This window comes from Homo sapiens, chromosome 20 (assembly GCF_000001405.40).
Source record: "Homo sapiens chromosome 20, GRCh38.p14 Primary Assembly".
NCBI classification, from domain to species: Eukaryota; Metazoa; Chordata; class Mammalia; order Primates; family Hominidae; genus Homo; species Homo sapiens.
Window position 1 is genome coordinate 2,546,438 of NC_000020.11, and position 15,401 is coordinate 2,561,838.

Here is a 15,401-nt window from a genome sequence, read left to right on the forward strand (position 1 = left end):
AATAGGAAAGAGAAGAATATTGATTATAGAGTAGTAACCTGCAGAGTTGGGCATAAGCTGTAGATCTTGGGCATAAGCTGTCTACATCTGAGGCTGTCTGCTTTGGGAGGTCTCCTAAGAATCTTTAGCTTGAGGTCACCAATAGGAATGGTTTTCTAGTAATTTTAGGATGGTGTATGTCTCTTGAGTTGAAGGACATGATCAACTCTTTAAGAGTTTCACCAGCATGTTAGTCATTACCTAATGGAGTCCTTCCAACTGGGGTTCTAAAATAGTTCTTTGTTGAAGACAAAAACTCTGGAGAGTTTAAGGAAGCTTTGGGGGCAAAACAAATAGTATCTGTAGGTGACACAGACTTAAACTGGTTGAGGGTAACTTATTACTGAAAACTTTCAAAAGTGAAACATTTCATGACAATGAAACTGATGGAAAATTTGGATGCTTCCACAGCATGCAAAAGAAGCAATGAAGGCATTCTAAAAGCTTTGGTCAAAATGTCTATAATGATTAAGCATGTTTTAATAGATAATGTACACTATATCTAATTTATAAAGGTGGATAACCATAATTTTTACAGAGAAAAAATCTTGAAGTATAACATATAATTATCTAAAAACATAATGTACATGACATACCAAGAAAATATCAAACATATAAGAAAAATATATCAAGACTATATGAAGAATATCAAGTAAAAAGATTCAGTAAGTATGGAATAGGTCCTAAACATCTACATTTTAATAAAAGTCCATAGATATGTCTGATGTTCATCTCCAATAGAAAAGCACTGGCCTGAAGGAGGCTAGATTCAAATTAAAGAGGAAACATTGTGTCCAAATAAACATTTTAAATGATAACTGAATTATAACTGATAATTCTACTGTTGTCTAACATCAGGCAGAGCACCACCAGGACTCTAACAAAAGGAAACAGACCATAGACAATGGAGGAATTAACAAATCTCTGGATATAGAACACATAATTGCTGAAATGTTTGAACATTTTACCTACACAAGTTAACCTAGAGAAGGCTAAACATCTCTTCTGATTTGACAAGCTTCCCCCAAAACCCTAACAACAATGTATCAAATAATCCTAATTGTTTCTGGCACCTGTATTTTAAATAAGGTGAAAGAACAAGTCTCTGTGGCCTTCTAGGAGCCCTCTGGGAAATCTCAAAGGTAGTCTTAGGTAAAAAGGTATTCTGAAAGGTATTTAACTTCATTTGAGAGTCAATCTTAAAAACAAACAAAATTGTCTGGAGAGTTGAACACAGGAATAACATTTGGCTACTCATTTGAAAGTGGCAATAAAACATTTAAAATATTTAAAAACAAGCTTAGAAGGTAAGGTGATCACCCACTAAGAACCTTAACTCTTTCATAAGTGAAGAACCTTTATTATCTTAAATAAAATTTCTTTTCTGCAAACTTTCTGCTATTTTCTATTTCCATTCAGGTTTTGTCCTTCACTGTTCTCTTTACCATTCTGGAACAACTAGGCATTTTACTTTAGGACAAAACTATTCTTTTTTTCTTAACAAAAACACGTTTTATTACTTTGCATGCAAAGTTGTACCTCTCTATCAAGACTGATCATAATAGAGTATCATTTAATTATAACTTTTAACCAAAGGATCTTCTGTTTCACAGAACAAACTGGTAGGATGGATAATTGTCAACTGTCACACATCAGCATTTTAGACTAGCAGAGCTCCTGAATGTACACAACACAACTTTCGACAAACACACACATCTTGTATACAGCTTCTCAAAAGGGCAGATATGAACATGTGTGTTAACAGGCCCAAACATATAACTTCTCTGTGGCATGTTTTAAAAAAAGAAGCAAAAGTAAATAAACTTAAAATTATGTTTAGTAATCAATGTTTCAGAATCCTTTCTTACTTAGAAATTAGTGGCCAGGTGTGGTGGCTCATGCCTCTAATCCCAGCACTTTGGGAGGCCAAGGCAGGCGGATCACCCGAGATCGGGGGTTCGAGACGAGGCTGACCAACATGGAGAAACCCCGTCTCTACTAAAAATAGAAAATTAGCTGGGTGTGGTGGAGCATGCCTGTAATCCCAGCTACTCGGGAGGCTGAGGCAGGAGAATTGCTTGAACCCAGGAGGCGGAGGTTGCAGTGAGCCAAGATAGCACCATTGCACTCCAGCCTGGGAAACAAGAGCGAAACTCCATCTCAAAAAAAAAAAAGAAAGAAAAAGAAAGAAATTAGTTAGGCATCTAATCAATATCCATAAACTCAATACCAGTTCAAGGCTTTATAATACCTAAAAATCTTGGGAATTAATTTCCAAGCTGGCATACTACAAAATATAATTACTGTTCACAAAAATGTTCAGAGTAATGAATCATTTTAGTTAAGCACAAATTTAGGTATTTTGTAACCTTCAACATCAAATAGAAGTAATGCTAATATATTTGATCAAGGAACCTATATAAGTCTAGAAACAACATACTCAAGTAGAATAAAAACGTAAGCTAGTCTTTTACTTAATGCTGAAAAACCAAAGAAGGCATAGCTGTTTTTATGAAATTAAACATAATAAATTAGTTCATTTGCCAAATTTTTACCTAATTTCTGGGATTTTTAAAATTTATTTGTGTTTTTTGGTTTTTTGGTTTTGTATTTGTTTAGAAACAGGGTCTTGCTCTGTTACCCAGGCTGGAGTGCACTGGTGCCATCACAGCTCACTTGGGTAATCCCACTCTCTCAGCCTCCCAAGTAGCTAGTACTATCGGCACTTACCACTATCCTGGCTAAATTTTTAGTTTTTTTGTACAGCCAGGATCTCGCTGTGTTGCCCAGGATGGTCCTGAATTCCTAGGTTCAAATTATTCTCCCTCCTCAGCCTCCCAAAGTGCTGGGATTATAGGCACGAGCCACCGTGCCCAGCCTAAGCACTTAATATCTTAATTCAGCCAATTAAATGAGCTCTTTTATTTTGTCGTCATCGTTGTTGTTGTTGATGATTTTTTGACTTTTTTAAAAAATATTTTTCCAGCCAGGCATGGTTGCTTACGTCTGTAATCCCAGCACTTTGGGAGGCCAAGGCGGGCGGATCACTTGAGGTCAGGAGTTTGAGACCAGCCTGGCCAACACGGTGAAACCCTGTCTCTACTGAAAATACAAAAATTAGCCAGGCATGGTGGCGTGTGCCTGTAATCCCAGCTACTCAAGAGGCTGAGGCAGAAGAATCCCTTGAATTTGGGGGGCAGATGTTGCAGTGAGCCGAGAGCACGCCACTGCCCTCCAGCCAAATAGGAAAAATATTTTTCCTATCCTTCTGAAGTTTGCAACTCCTTTATCTTCAGAAAAACTTCTCCTTGAGAGTTTCCTCAGAGCATCTCATTCAGCAATCATTTCATTTTTTAAAAACAGACTTCATTTTTTAGAGCAGTTTTAGGATTGGAGAAAAATTTTGCCGAAATTACAGAGTTTTGGCTGTGTGCAGTGGCTCACGCCTGTAATTCCAACACTTTGGGAGGACGAGTTGCACAGGTCACCTGAGGTCAGCAGTTGGAGACCAGCCTGGCCAACATGGTAAAACCCCGTCTCTACTAAAAATACAAAAATTAGTTGGGCATAGTGGTGCGCACCTATAATCCCAGCTACTCAGGTGGCTGAGGCAAGAGAATCACTTGAACCCTGGAAGCGGAGGATGCAGTGAGCCGAGATCACACCAGACTGCACTCCAGCCTGGGCAACAGAGCCAGACTCTGTCTCAAAAAAAAAAAAAAATTAGCTCCATGCAGTGACGCATGCCTATAGTTCCAGCCACTCGGCAGGCTGAGGAGGGAGGATCACTTGAGCGTGGGAGGCAGAGGCTGTAGTGTGCTGAGATTGTGCCACTGCACTCCAACCTGGGCGACAGAACAAGACCCTGTCTCAAAAAAATAAAAATTAAAATAAAAAACTTACATAGAGTTTCCACGTATAACCTTCTTTCCTCCCCTCACCGAATGTTTCTCCTAGCATGTCGCATTGGGTGTGCTGCGTTTGTTACAACTGATGGGCCAATACGGATACATTATTAACTAAAGTGCATATTTTACACTAGAGTTCACTCTTTATAGATTCCATAGGTTTTGACAAATGCATAATATATCATGTATCCATCATCACAGTATGACACAGAATAATATGCCCCCAAATGTCCTGTGGCCCACCTATTCAACCCTCTCTCCCTCCCACTGAACCCTCAGCAACCACTGATCATTTTTTCCGCTGTCTCTAGAGTGTCTCTTTCTCCAGAATGCTGTATAGTTACAATCATACAGCATATAACCTTTTCATATTGCCTTCTTTCACTTAGAAATATGCATTTAAGTTTCCCTCATGTCTTTTCATCGCTTGAAAGTTCATTTCATCACTGAGTAATATTCCATTGTATTTATTACCGCAGTTTGTTTATGCATTCACCTATTGAAGGACATCTTAGTTGCTTCCAAGTTTTGATAATTATGAATAAGGTGGCCGTAAATATTTGTGTGCAGGCTTTTGTTTTGGGACATAAATTTTCAACTCATTTGGGTTAACACCTCGGAGTGCAAATGCTGGATTTTATGGTCAATCTATGTTTAGTTTTGTAAGAAACTGCCATACTGTTTTCCAAAGTAGCTGTACCATTTTGCATCCTCACTAGCAATAAATGAGCATTCCTGTTGTTCTACATTTTTTTATAGCATTTTGTGTTGCCAATAAGCATGTAATAGTATTTCATTGATGTTTTAATTCACAGTTCCCTAATGACATACCATGTTGAGCATCTTTTCATATGCCTATTTACCATCTGTATACTTTCTTTGGTGAGATGTCTGCTCAGATCTTTTTTCCATTTTTTAATTGTTTGTTTTCTTATTCTTGAGTTTTCATGTGTGTATTTTGGATACACGTCCTTTGTCAGATACATGTTTTGCAAATATTTTCTACTAGTTTGTGGGTTTTTTTTTTTAATTCTCTTCACAGTGTCTTTTGCAGAGCAGAAGTTTTTAGTTTTAATGAATTAAAACATCAATTTTTCTCTTTAATGGATCATGCTTTTGGTATCGTATTTTATTCTTTGTTTTTATTTTTGTTTTCATTTATGCTGTGGTATTTTAAAAGTCATTGCTAAATTGAAGGCCATTGCAGTTTTCTCCTTTGTTATCTTTTACAGTTTTATAGCTTTGTGTTTTACATTTAGGTTTATGATCCATTTGGAGTTAATTTTTGTGAAAGGCATAAGGTCTGTATCTAGATTTTTGGTTTTGGCCTATGGGTGCCCAGTTGTTCCAGCACAATTTGTTGAAAAAAACTATCCTTTCTCCATCGTCAAAGGTTGGCTATATTTGTGTGGGTCTATTTCTGAGCTCTCTATTCCATCCCATTGATCTAATTCTCTTTCACCAGTATCACACCATCTTGATTACTGTACCTTTATAGTGTTGATGTGTATGAAGTAGAGCTTTAGAGTCTTGATGTGGATTGTGCTGGATATTCTGGGTCTTTTGCCTTTCCATATAAACTTTAGAATCAGGGCTGGGTGCAGTAGCTCACGCCTATAATCCCAGCACTTTGTGAAGCCAAACTGGGAGGATTGTTTGATCCCAGGGCTTTGAGAACAACTCAGGCAATACAGAGACTCTACAAAAAAAAAAAATTATAAAATTAGCTGGGCATGGTTAGTGTGCACCTGTAGTCCCCCCTACTTGGGAGGCTGAGGTGGGAGGATTGCTTGAGAGCAGGAGTTCAAGGCTGCAGTGAGCTATATTCGTGCCATTGCACTCCAGCCTGAGCAACAGAATGAGACCCTGTCTCTAAACAAACAAACAAACACTTTAGAATCAGTTTATCAATATCCACAGAATAATTTGCTGGGATTTTGATTGAAATCGCATTAACTCTATAGACAAAGCTGGGAAGAACTTACATTTTAATAATGTTGAATGTTCCATGTTTGTTCCAAGGAACATTCATTTATTTAAGTCTTTGAGTTCTTTGAGTTCTTTCATCAGAATTTTGTAGTCTTCTTCATATAGCTCTTACACATATTTTGTTAGATTTATATATAAGTTTCATTTATTTGTTTGTTTGTTTTTGAGACAGAGTTCTGTCACCCATGCTGGAGTGCAGTGGCACAATCTCGGCTCACTGCAATGTCCACCTCACGAGTTCAAGGGATCTTCCCACTTCAGTCTCTGACGTAGCTGGGAATACAGACTCGTGCCACCATGCCCAGCTAATTTTTGTATTTTTAGTAGAGACGGGGTTTTACCATGTTGGCCAGGCTGGTCTGGAACTCCGGACCTCAACTGATCCACCTACCTTGACCTCCCAAAGTGCTGGGATTATAGGCATGAGCCACCGTGACCTGCCAAGTATTTCATTTTTTTAGTTCTAATATAAATGGAGTTGTGATTTTAACTTTAAATTTCAGTTGTTCATTGCTGGCGTATAGGAGTAATTGACTTTTGCATACTAACCTTGCATCCTGCATCATTGTTACAAAATGGCTTATTGGTTCTAGGAGGTTCTTGTGGTTTATTTTGTTTTGTTTTTGTCAATTCTTTGAGATTTTCTACATAGACAATTATACTATCTGTGAACAAAGACAGTTTTATTTTTTTGTTCCCATTTAGTCTACTGTTAATATCCTTTTATTATCTTACTGCATTATCTAGGACTTCCAACACAGTGCTGAACAGGTGACAGGAGACATCCTTGTCTTGTTCCCAGTCTTGAGGGGAAAGTATCTAGTTTCTCACCACTAAGTATGATGTTAGTTGTAGGGGTTTTGTAGCAATTCTTCATCAGGTTGAGGAATTATCCCCTAGTTTGCTGAGAACTTTTTTAATCATGAATGGGTGTTGTATTTTTTTAATGTTTTCTCTGCATCTATTGATATGATCCTGTGATTGTTTTTCATTAGCTGTTGATAAGATGGATTACATCAATTGATTTTCTAATGTTGAGCCAGTCTTGCATACCTGGACTAAATCCCATTTGGCCTTGGTATACAACTCTTTTTATATGTTCTTGAATTCAATTTTCTATTTTATTAAGGATTTTTGTATCTATGTTTATAAGAGATACAGGTCTGTTTTTGTCTGGTTTTTGTGCTAGAGGAATGCTGGCGTCATGAAATGAGTTAGGAAGTGTTCCGTTTGCTTCTATTTTCTGGAAGAAATGCTAAAGAAATTGTATTATTTCTTCTTTAAACATTTGACAAAATCACCAGTGAAATCATCCAGGCCTGGTGTTTTCTATTTAAAAGGTTATTAATTGCCGAGACAATTTCTTTAATAAATATAGGCCTATTCAGATTACTTATTTCGCTTTGTGTGAGTTTTGGTAGATTGTGTTTTTCCAGGAATTTGTCGAGTTCTTCTGGGCCAGCAAATTTATCAGCATCAAGTTGTCTGCAATACTCCTTTATTATCCTTTTGTTTTGTTTTGTTTTTTGAGACGGAGCTTTGCTCTTGTTGCCCAGGCTGGAGTACAATGGCACCATCTCAGCTCACTGCAACCTCTGCCTCCTGGGTTCAAGTGATTCTCCTGCCTCAGCCTCCCGAGTAGCTGGGATTACAGGCACCCGCCACCATACCCGGCTAATTTTTTTGTATTTTTAGTGGAGATGGGGGTTTCACCATGTTGGCCAGGCTGGTCTCGAACTCCTGACCTCAGGTGATCCATCTGCCTCAGCCTCCCAAAGTGCTGGGATTACAGCATGAGCCAACGTGCCCAGCCTCCTTTATTATCTTTTTAATGTCCTTGAGATAAATGGTGACGATCCCTCTTTTATTTCTGATATTAATAATTTATGTCTCCAGCCTGGGCAACGGAGCAACACCCTGTCTCAAAAATAAATCGATAAATAATGTATGTTTTCTCACCTTTGTTCTTGGTTAGCCTGGCTAGAGGGTCATCAATATTATCAATCTTTTCAAAGAACCTCTCTATGATTTCATGCTTCTCTCCATCGTTTTCTTGTGTTCAATTTCATTGATTTCTGCTCTAATTTTTATTATTCTTTTTATTCTGCTTACTTTGGATTTAATTTGTTCTTTTTTAGTTTTCTACAGTAGAAGCTTGGCTTATTGATTTTAGATCTTCTTTTCTAATAGATACATTCAATGCTATGAGTTTCTTTCTAAGCACTGCTTTTGCTGCATCCCATAAATTTTGACCAGTTGTATTTTCATTTAAATGTAGTCCAAAATATTTTTTCATTCTCTTGAGGCTTCTTTAACCTATGTGTTATTTAGAAGTGGGCTGTTTTATCTCCAAATATTTTGGTATTTTCCAGCTATCTTTCTGTTAGAGATTTCTAGTCTAATTCCATTATGATCTGAGAGAGTATATTGTATGATATCTATTGTCTTAAATTTGTTAAGGTGTGTTTTATGGTCCAGCATATGGTCTATTTTGGTGAATGTTCCATATGAGCTTGAGAAGGATCTGTTGTTGTTGGATGATATATTCTATACATATTAATTTAATCCAATTGATTAATAGTGCTATTCAGTTCAACTATGTCCTTACTATTTTCTGCCTGCTGGCTCTGTCAGTGGTTGATAGAGGAATATTAAAGTCTCCAACTATAGTAGTGAATTGGTCTATTTCTCCTTGCAGTTTTTTTATGTTTTTGTTTTGTTTTTTGAGATGGAGTCTCACTCTGTCGCCCAGGCTGGAGTGCAATGGTGCCATCTCTCCTCACTACAACCTCACCCTCCTGGGTTCAAGCCATTCTCCTGCCTCAGCCTCCAAAGTAGCTGAGATTACAGGCATGCGCCACGATGCCCAGCTAATTTTTGTATTTTTAGTAGAGATGGGGTTTCACCATGTTGGCCACGCTGGTCTCGAACACCTGACCTCAGGTGATCCACCCACCTCAGCCTCCCAAAGTGCTGGGATTACAGGCATGAGCCACCACACCTGGTCTTGCCCTTCTTTATCCCCGATAATTTTACTTGCTCTGAAATCTGCTTTGTCTGAAATTAATACAATTGCTCAAGCTTTTTTTTTTATAATCAGGGTTAACACGATTATCTTTCTCTGCCCTTTACTTTTAATCTATAAGTCTGTTTATATTTAAAGTGGGATTCTTATAGACAGCATATACTTGGGTCTTGGTTTTTGATCCATTCTCTGACAATCCCTTTCTTTAGTTGGTGTACTGAGATTATTTATACATAAAATGATTATTGATATAGTTGGGTTAATGTTTACCATATTTGTTGCTGGTTTCTCTTTGATGTCCTTGTTCTTTGTTCCTATTTTTATCTTCCACTCTTTTTCTGCCTTCTGCAGTTTTGATTGAGCATTTAATATGATTCCAGTTTATCTCCTTTGTTAGCATATTAATTTTGCTTCCTTTTTACTTTTTAAAAAAGGTTTGTTCTAGAATTTGCATTTCTAACTAATTCAAGTCCACTTTTAAATAACACTATATCTCTTCATGGGTAGCGCAGGTACTTTATAAAAGGGTATTCCCAATGTCTCCCTCCCATCTCTTTGACATTGCTGTAATTCATTTAGCTTATCCATAAGCTATGATTATCCAACATATTGTTGCTATTGTTATCCTAAACAAACCCTTATCTTTTAGGTCAGTTAGGAATTTAAAAAGAAGGATTTTATTTTTTATTTTTTATTTTTATTTTTTTTGAGACGGAGCCTTGCTCTGTCACCCAGGCTGGAGTGCAGTGGTGCGATCTCGTCTCACTGCAACCTCCACCTCCTAGCGTCAAGTGATTCTCCTGCCTCAGCCTTCCCAGTAGCTGGGATTACAGGCACGTGCCATCATGCCTGGCTAATTTTTAATAGAGACGGGGTTTCACCATGTTGGCCAGGCTGGTCTCGAACTCCTGACTTCATGATCCACCCACCTCAGCCTCCCAAAGTGCTGGGATTACAGGCGTGAGCCACCAGGTTTGGCCTATTTTTTCTTTATTTATTGCTTCTTGAATGCTCTTCCTTTATGTAAATCCAAGTTTCTGACCTATGTCGTTTTCCTTCCCTCTGAAGAACCTCCTTTAACATTTTGAGGGGCTGGACAGGGTGGCTCATGCCTATAATCCCAGCACTTTGGTAGCCTAAGGCAGGAGAATCTCTTGAGGCCAGGAGTTTGAGATCAGCCTGGGCAAGATAGTGATACTCCATCTTTAAAAAAAAATTGTTTTTTAATTAGCTGGGAGGCTGAGGCAGGAGGATCACTTGAGCCCAGCAGTGCAAGGTTATAGTGAGCTATGATGGCACCACTGCACTCCAGCCTAGGCAACAGAGTCCCTGTTTCTAAATGAAAATAAAATAAAACTTTTTTTGCAAGGCAGGTCTACTGACAACAAATTATCTCCGTTTTTGTTTGTCTGAGAAAGTCTATCTTCCTCACTTTTGAAGAATACTTTTGATGGATACAGAATTCTGTCCTTTTTTTTTTTTCCGTCAGCACTTTAAATATATCACTCTACTCTCTTAACTTGCACAGTTTCTGGAGCAAAATCTAGTGTAATTCTTATCTTTATACCAACAGGTAAGGTGAGTTTTTTCCTCCAGCTTTTTTCAAGATTTTATCTTTGTCTTTGGTTTTCTGCAGTGTGAATACGATATGCCTAGGTGGAGATTTTTGGCATTTATCCTGCTTGATGTTCTCTGGGCTTTCTCGATGTGTGGTTTGGTGTTTGTCATTAATATTAGAAAATTCTTAGCAATTATTAATTCAAATATTTCTTCTGTTCCTTTCTCTGTTTGCCTTCTGGCATTCCCATTACACATATGTTACTCCTTTTGAAATTGTCCCACAGTTTGGGGATATTTTGTTCCATCTCTGAAATTTCTTTTCTTTTTGCTTTCAGTTTGGGAAGTTTCTATTGACATATCCTCCGCCCACTGACTCTTTCCTTGACTGTGACCAGTCTACTAATGAGCCCATCAAAGGTGTTCTTTACTTCTATTATAGTGTTTTTGGTTTTTACCATTTCTTTTTTATTGTTTCTTAGAGTTTCAATCTCTTTGATTACATTACTCATCTGTTCTTGCATGTTGTCCATTTTATCCATTAGATCTGTTAACATATTAATCAGTTATTTTTATTTTATTTTGTTTTCTTCAGATGGAGTCTCGCTCTTGTCGCTTAGGCTGGAGTGCACTGGTGTGATCTCAGCTCACTGCAACCTCCACCTCCCGGGTTCAAGCGATTCTCTTGCCTTAGCCTTCCAAGTAGCTGGAATTACAGACATGCACCACCACGCCCAGCTAATTTTTGTATTTTTAGTACAGATGGGGTTTCACCACCTTGGCCAGTCTGGTCTCCAACTCCTGACCTCACAGTGAAAATTTGGTAGGGCTCCTGGAGGTAAAACTGATGAAAGTGCGCCCCCACCAAGGCAGTCATTCTCACCCAGACCAGAAGCTTTCAGAATAGGTGGCCTTTGGACCTAGAGGGAGAAGAGATTTCTTTCCTTAGCCATTGCAAGGTTTGTGGATGAGACCCCAATAACAAAAGACAGATTAACAAGATAAACGCATCCAATTTTATTTAATGTAAGTTTTAGGGAACACAAGAGCCTTCAGAAACGAAGACCCAAATATACAGGGAAAACTGTATTTTTATGGAGAGTTGTGCAGAAGTATGATCGGAGGACAAAAGGGTATGATGTCATGGTAATCAACCAGGGGGAAGTAGCAAGGCCTGTTTGTTCCGATTCCTCTTGGCCTCTCTGTGTGACTTTCCTTTCCTTGGGTATAGGGCAGGACACCTGTCACAGGAGGTCTTCAAGGGAGACGGGAGGGAGAAGGCCAGAGAGTGACCTTCCTGCTTCTGCAGTTTTCTTAGTTTCCTTCAGCTTAAAATACTCAACATGCCAAGGTGCCATACTTTGGGGTGTCCTGTTCTGAGCCCCGCAGAGCTCACAAGCTCTCGGAATCATCTTGGACGTCTGATTTCTCACGGCCGGGGACATTTTCCTGGGCCTGAGGCCGTTGGAACCAGAACTGTCCATTTTCCCGCCCCGGCAGGTGACAGGCTGGGAAGGAGATCCTCAAGCAAGCGGGCTCTCAAAGCCGAGGGGACCCCAGGCAGGCGCGGAGCTCAGCGAAGCCAGAAGGAGCGCGCCGGGGGCAGCCCAAGCCCGGGGTCTCCCCGGAGGAAGCAAACAGGGCGCAGGAGACACAGAGAAGAGCTGGGGGAGCAGGAGCGGGGCGAGGCAGAGAGGACCTGCGAGGGCAGGAGAAAGCGCGACGAGAGGGCCTCCTTCCAGGAGCGGACAGCAGCCCCAAAGAGGGAAAAGGAGATTCCGAGGAGGGAGGAGAAGTCGAAGCGGCAGAAGAAACCCAGGTGTGTTGTGGCTCCGATTCTGGGCATTCGCTCCGCGCGCTCCCGCTCCTTCGCGGCCCTTCCCCTTCCCCCGTGAGGGACTGATGCCCCCCTCCCCGGGGAGAGGCAGCCCGTGCCCTCGCTCTGGCTTCCGTGCCTCCCAGCCCTTACCACTGCCCCACTCTGCGGTGGGTTCTTCATCCCAGAACCGGGATGAAGATCGCGGGTCCGCGCGGGGGAGTGGCCGCGGGCTCTCCACTCCAGCGCCTCGTGGCACCCGGTGAGGCGGGGCGCGGGTGGAGAGGTGGCGGGGCGCGGGTGGAGAGGTGACAGGGCAGCGGGTGGGACACGATCCCGCGTCCCCTGAACTCCAGCTGGTGACTCACCCCGGCTCTCGAAGAGGAGGAGCTGAGCGACATGAACAAAATCGGACTCAGGAACCATCTGAGGGCTTAAGCACACCTCGTTCCGGCTTCCGGATCTGGGCCAGTTTCCTCTGCTGGAAATGTGGCACTGGTCCAGGAGACCTTCAAGGATGCTACCAGCTCTGAAATTCTGGAGCTTGGAGGTTTTATTTGTTTTGCCTCCTTTGTTCCATTACCATTGGCACCAACTAGCACGTGTGGGTTAGTGGACAGGGCCAGCTTATGGCATCAGAAAGTGAAGATTTGGGGTTCATGTTTTTGTTATCAATTTTAATAGGTGTCTCTCTCTTTGCCTCCCTTTTTCAGTCATTGAGGATAACAGATGCCTTATTCGTTGCTCATATTGTTTTAAGAATTCTTTGTGATAGAATAGGAATTCTTTTGCAACAGTTGGGAATATTAGGATTATGGTGAAGAGTTGATGTTCTTTCCCGGTGGTTTGTAGCAAATCCTTTTTGCCCACAGCCTCAGTTGGGTGCTCCATCTTCCTCTCCACCTTTACAGAGAGGCTTTTAAACAAGGGCACTGATTTTTTTCCTGTCGCCATGCCAACCATCCTGGCTTGGTTACAGCCTTTGTCTACTGTCTGGTTGCTCCCAGACATGAACTAAAGAGGTAAAGGGTGCATCGTGCCCTTGGCCATTTAAAAATAACGTGAATGCACCGTTGATGGGCCCTGGGTGCCCTGAACTTTAGAGGGAGCCTGTACCATCCCAATGGGCCACAGACTCATTTATGTCATTTTCAGCTGAGGGCCATGCCAAGGCATTAGAGAGATGAAAACATTCAGTTCCCGTTGCCTAGATACTGACAGTGTGGCAGAGGAGATAACACATAGGCATTGGTAATCCTAAGACAAGGCAGAAAGCAATATGCATGCAAGACAGGACTTGATGGAGCGCTGAATTCCCCGGGTGCTGGGCCATCAGGGTTCCTCCATGGAGAAGGTGAACATCCCAGTGAGGCTTTGAATAACAGGTGGAATCTAAATAAGCAATGACTGAATGTCCAACACCCCAAACTGTGGGAACACCCTACGCAGAGACTCAAAGGCAGATATCATCAATTGGGTGTGCATGAAGTATGGCAAAAAAAAAAAAAATATCTCTGTGTTCTAGGCTTTTCAACCTTCAAGGGCATCCTAAAACTTCTTCTTTGCTCCCCAGGAGTTAATCAGAAGCTAAAACACCCAGAGGCTGCTGCAAACCTGTCTCTAAAACCTGCAGTAACCCAAGCCCACACCCTAATACTACCATTTATGAAACACACTCAGGCTGCCCAGCCATAACCCTTCCTTAGTCCTTTCCTTTACCTACCCGATTGGGCGCTGTCTCACTCAGCTGAGAGTCACTATTTTTCATCACTAAAGGAGTCAGAGGCCGGGCGTGGTGGCTCACGCCTGTAATCCCAGCACTTTGGGAGGCCGAGGTGGGTGGATCGCGAGGTCAGGAGATCGAGATCATCCTGGCTAACATGGTGAAACCCCATTTCTACTAAAAATACAAAAAATTAGCCAGGCGTGGTGGCGGGTGCCTGTAGTGCCAGCTACTCCGGAGGCTAAGGTGGGAGAATGGCGTGAACCCAGGAGGTGGAGCTTGCAGTGAGCCGAGATTGCGCCACTGCACTCCAGCCTGGGCCACAGAGCAAGACTCCATCTCAAAAAAAAAAAAAAAAATGGAGTCAGAATAGGCTGGAGGCTGTAGGGAGCACACACAGACACTTGGATTTTGTGACAACTGAGCACATAGTATTATCTGGGAGATGGGGAGCTCCCCAGCTGGAAATTCTCCACAGCCCTGCTGTCCAATATGACAGCCACTAGCTGCATGTGGCTGCTGAGCACTTGAAATGTGGCCAGTGTGACTGAGCAACTGAATTCCTCATTTAATTGTAACTCAGTGTTAATGCCACTGAGTTGACATAAGAGTTGGTGAATTTACTTAATTTGGACAGATGTAGTTTTGAAACTGATTTGATTTGACTTTGAAGCCAAAACAGTTCTTCTACAAAAAGACAAACTACTGTTGTCAATGCAGATACAAATATCAAAGGAAAACCATATTCTGCTACTTGATTCAGTTCTTGGGAATCTTTTAAGTATGTCTAAAACAATTTGGGCAAATCTACTTTTTTCACCTATAAACTTATGAAATATAAATACAAATTAAATATATCTGATGAAAGTTTATCATCTGAATAGCCTTGCAGTATGAGTACAAAATGAACAGTGACCTTTGAAGACAGTATTTTTTAAAGGACTGAAATATCTCTAATAATTTTATATTGATTACAGGTTAAATTCCAGTTTTTAATATATTTGAGTAAATAAACTGTATTATTAAAATTGCTTTAATCCATTGCTTTTTACCACTTCAACGTGGCTACTAGAAAAATTTGCATTACAGTAAGTGGCTTGTGTCCTATTTCTGTTGGGGAACACTGAGCTGGCATGTGGTTTGTGGGAGGACTCAGAGAAATGGAGGATGGGGAGGCAGCCCTCCAGGGCCCTGGGCTACAGGGTAGAATTTTGGCCTCCGCTGCCAGGCAATGGGAGTCACTAATGGCTTCTGAGCAGGGGAAGGGGTGCCATCTTCCATGGGCCCCTCCTCATTCCACAGCACCTGAGGACACCACCTCCTTTCCAACTTCCCTCTGCCTCC

General features: G+C 41.0%; 1 protein-coding gene across 3 annotated transcripts in view, besides 1 other annotated feature; it reads left to right on the forward strand.

Moving 5' to 3' along the window:
- Positions 1-15,401, forward strand: part of TMC2 (transmembrane channel like 2) — a 107,008-nt gene that overhangs the window by 9,865 nt on the left and 81,742 nt on the right. For 2 of the 3 annotated variants that reach the window (XR_001754152.2, XM_005260660.5), the window contains exon 1: positions 11,728-12,337. Coding sequence is in view for 2 of the 3 variants with exons in the window: in XM_005260660.5 (XP_005260717.1) it covers positions 11,862-12,337 (476 nt within the window). In the remaining variant the exon portion in view is untranslated. Of the gene's footprint in view, positions 1-11,727; positions 12,338-15,401 lie in introns of those variants that run through there. The other variant, NM_080751.3, reaches the window with a different exon arrangement.
- Positions 11,602-12,312: an enhancer, noted in NCBI's record as "H3K4me1 hESC enhancer chr20:2538685-2539395 (GRCh37/hg19 assembly coordinates)". NCBI's record gives its function as "activates a minimal SCP1, AML or CMV promoter by ChIP-STARR-seq in naive H9 embryonic stem cells {active_cell/tissue: H9 hESC(naive)}" and the evidence as "EXISTENCE:reporter gene assay evidence [ECO:0000049][PMID:30033119]".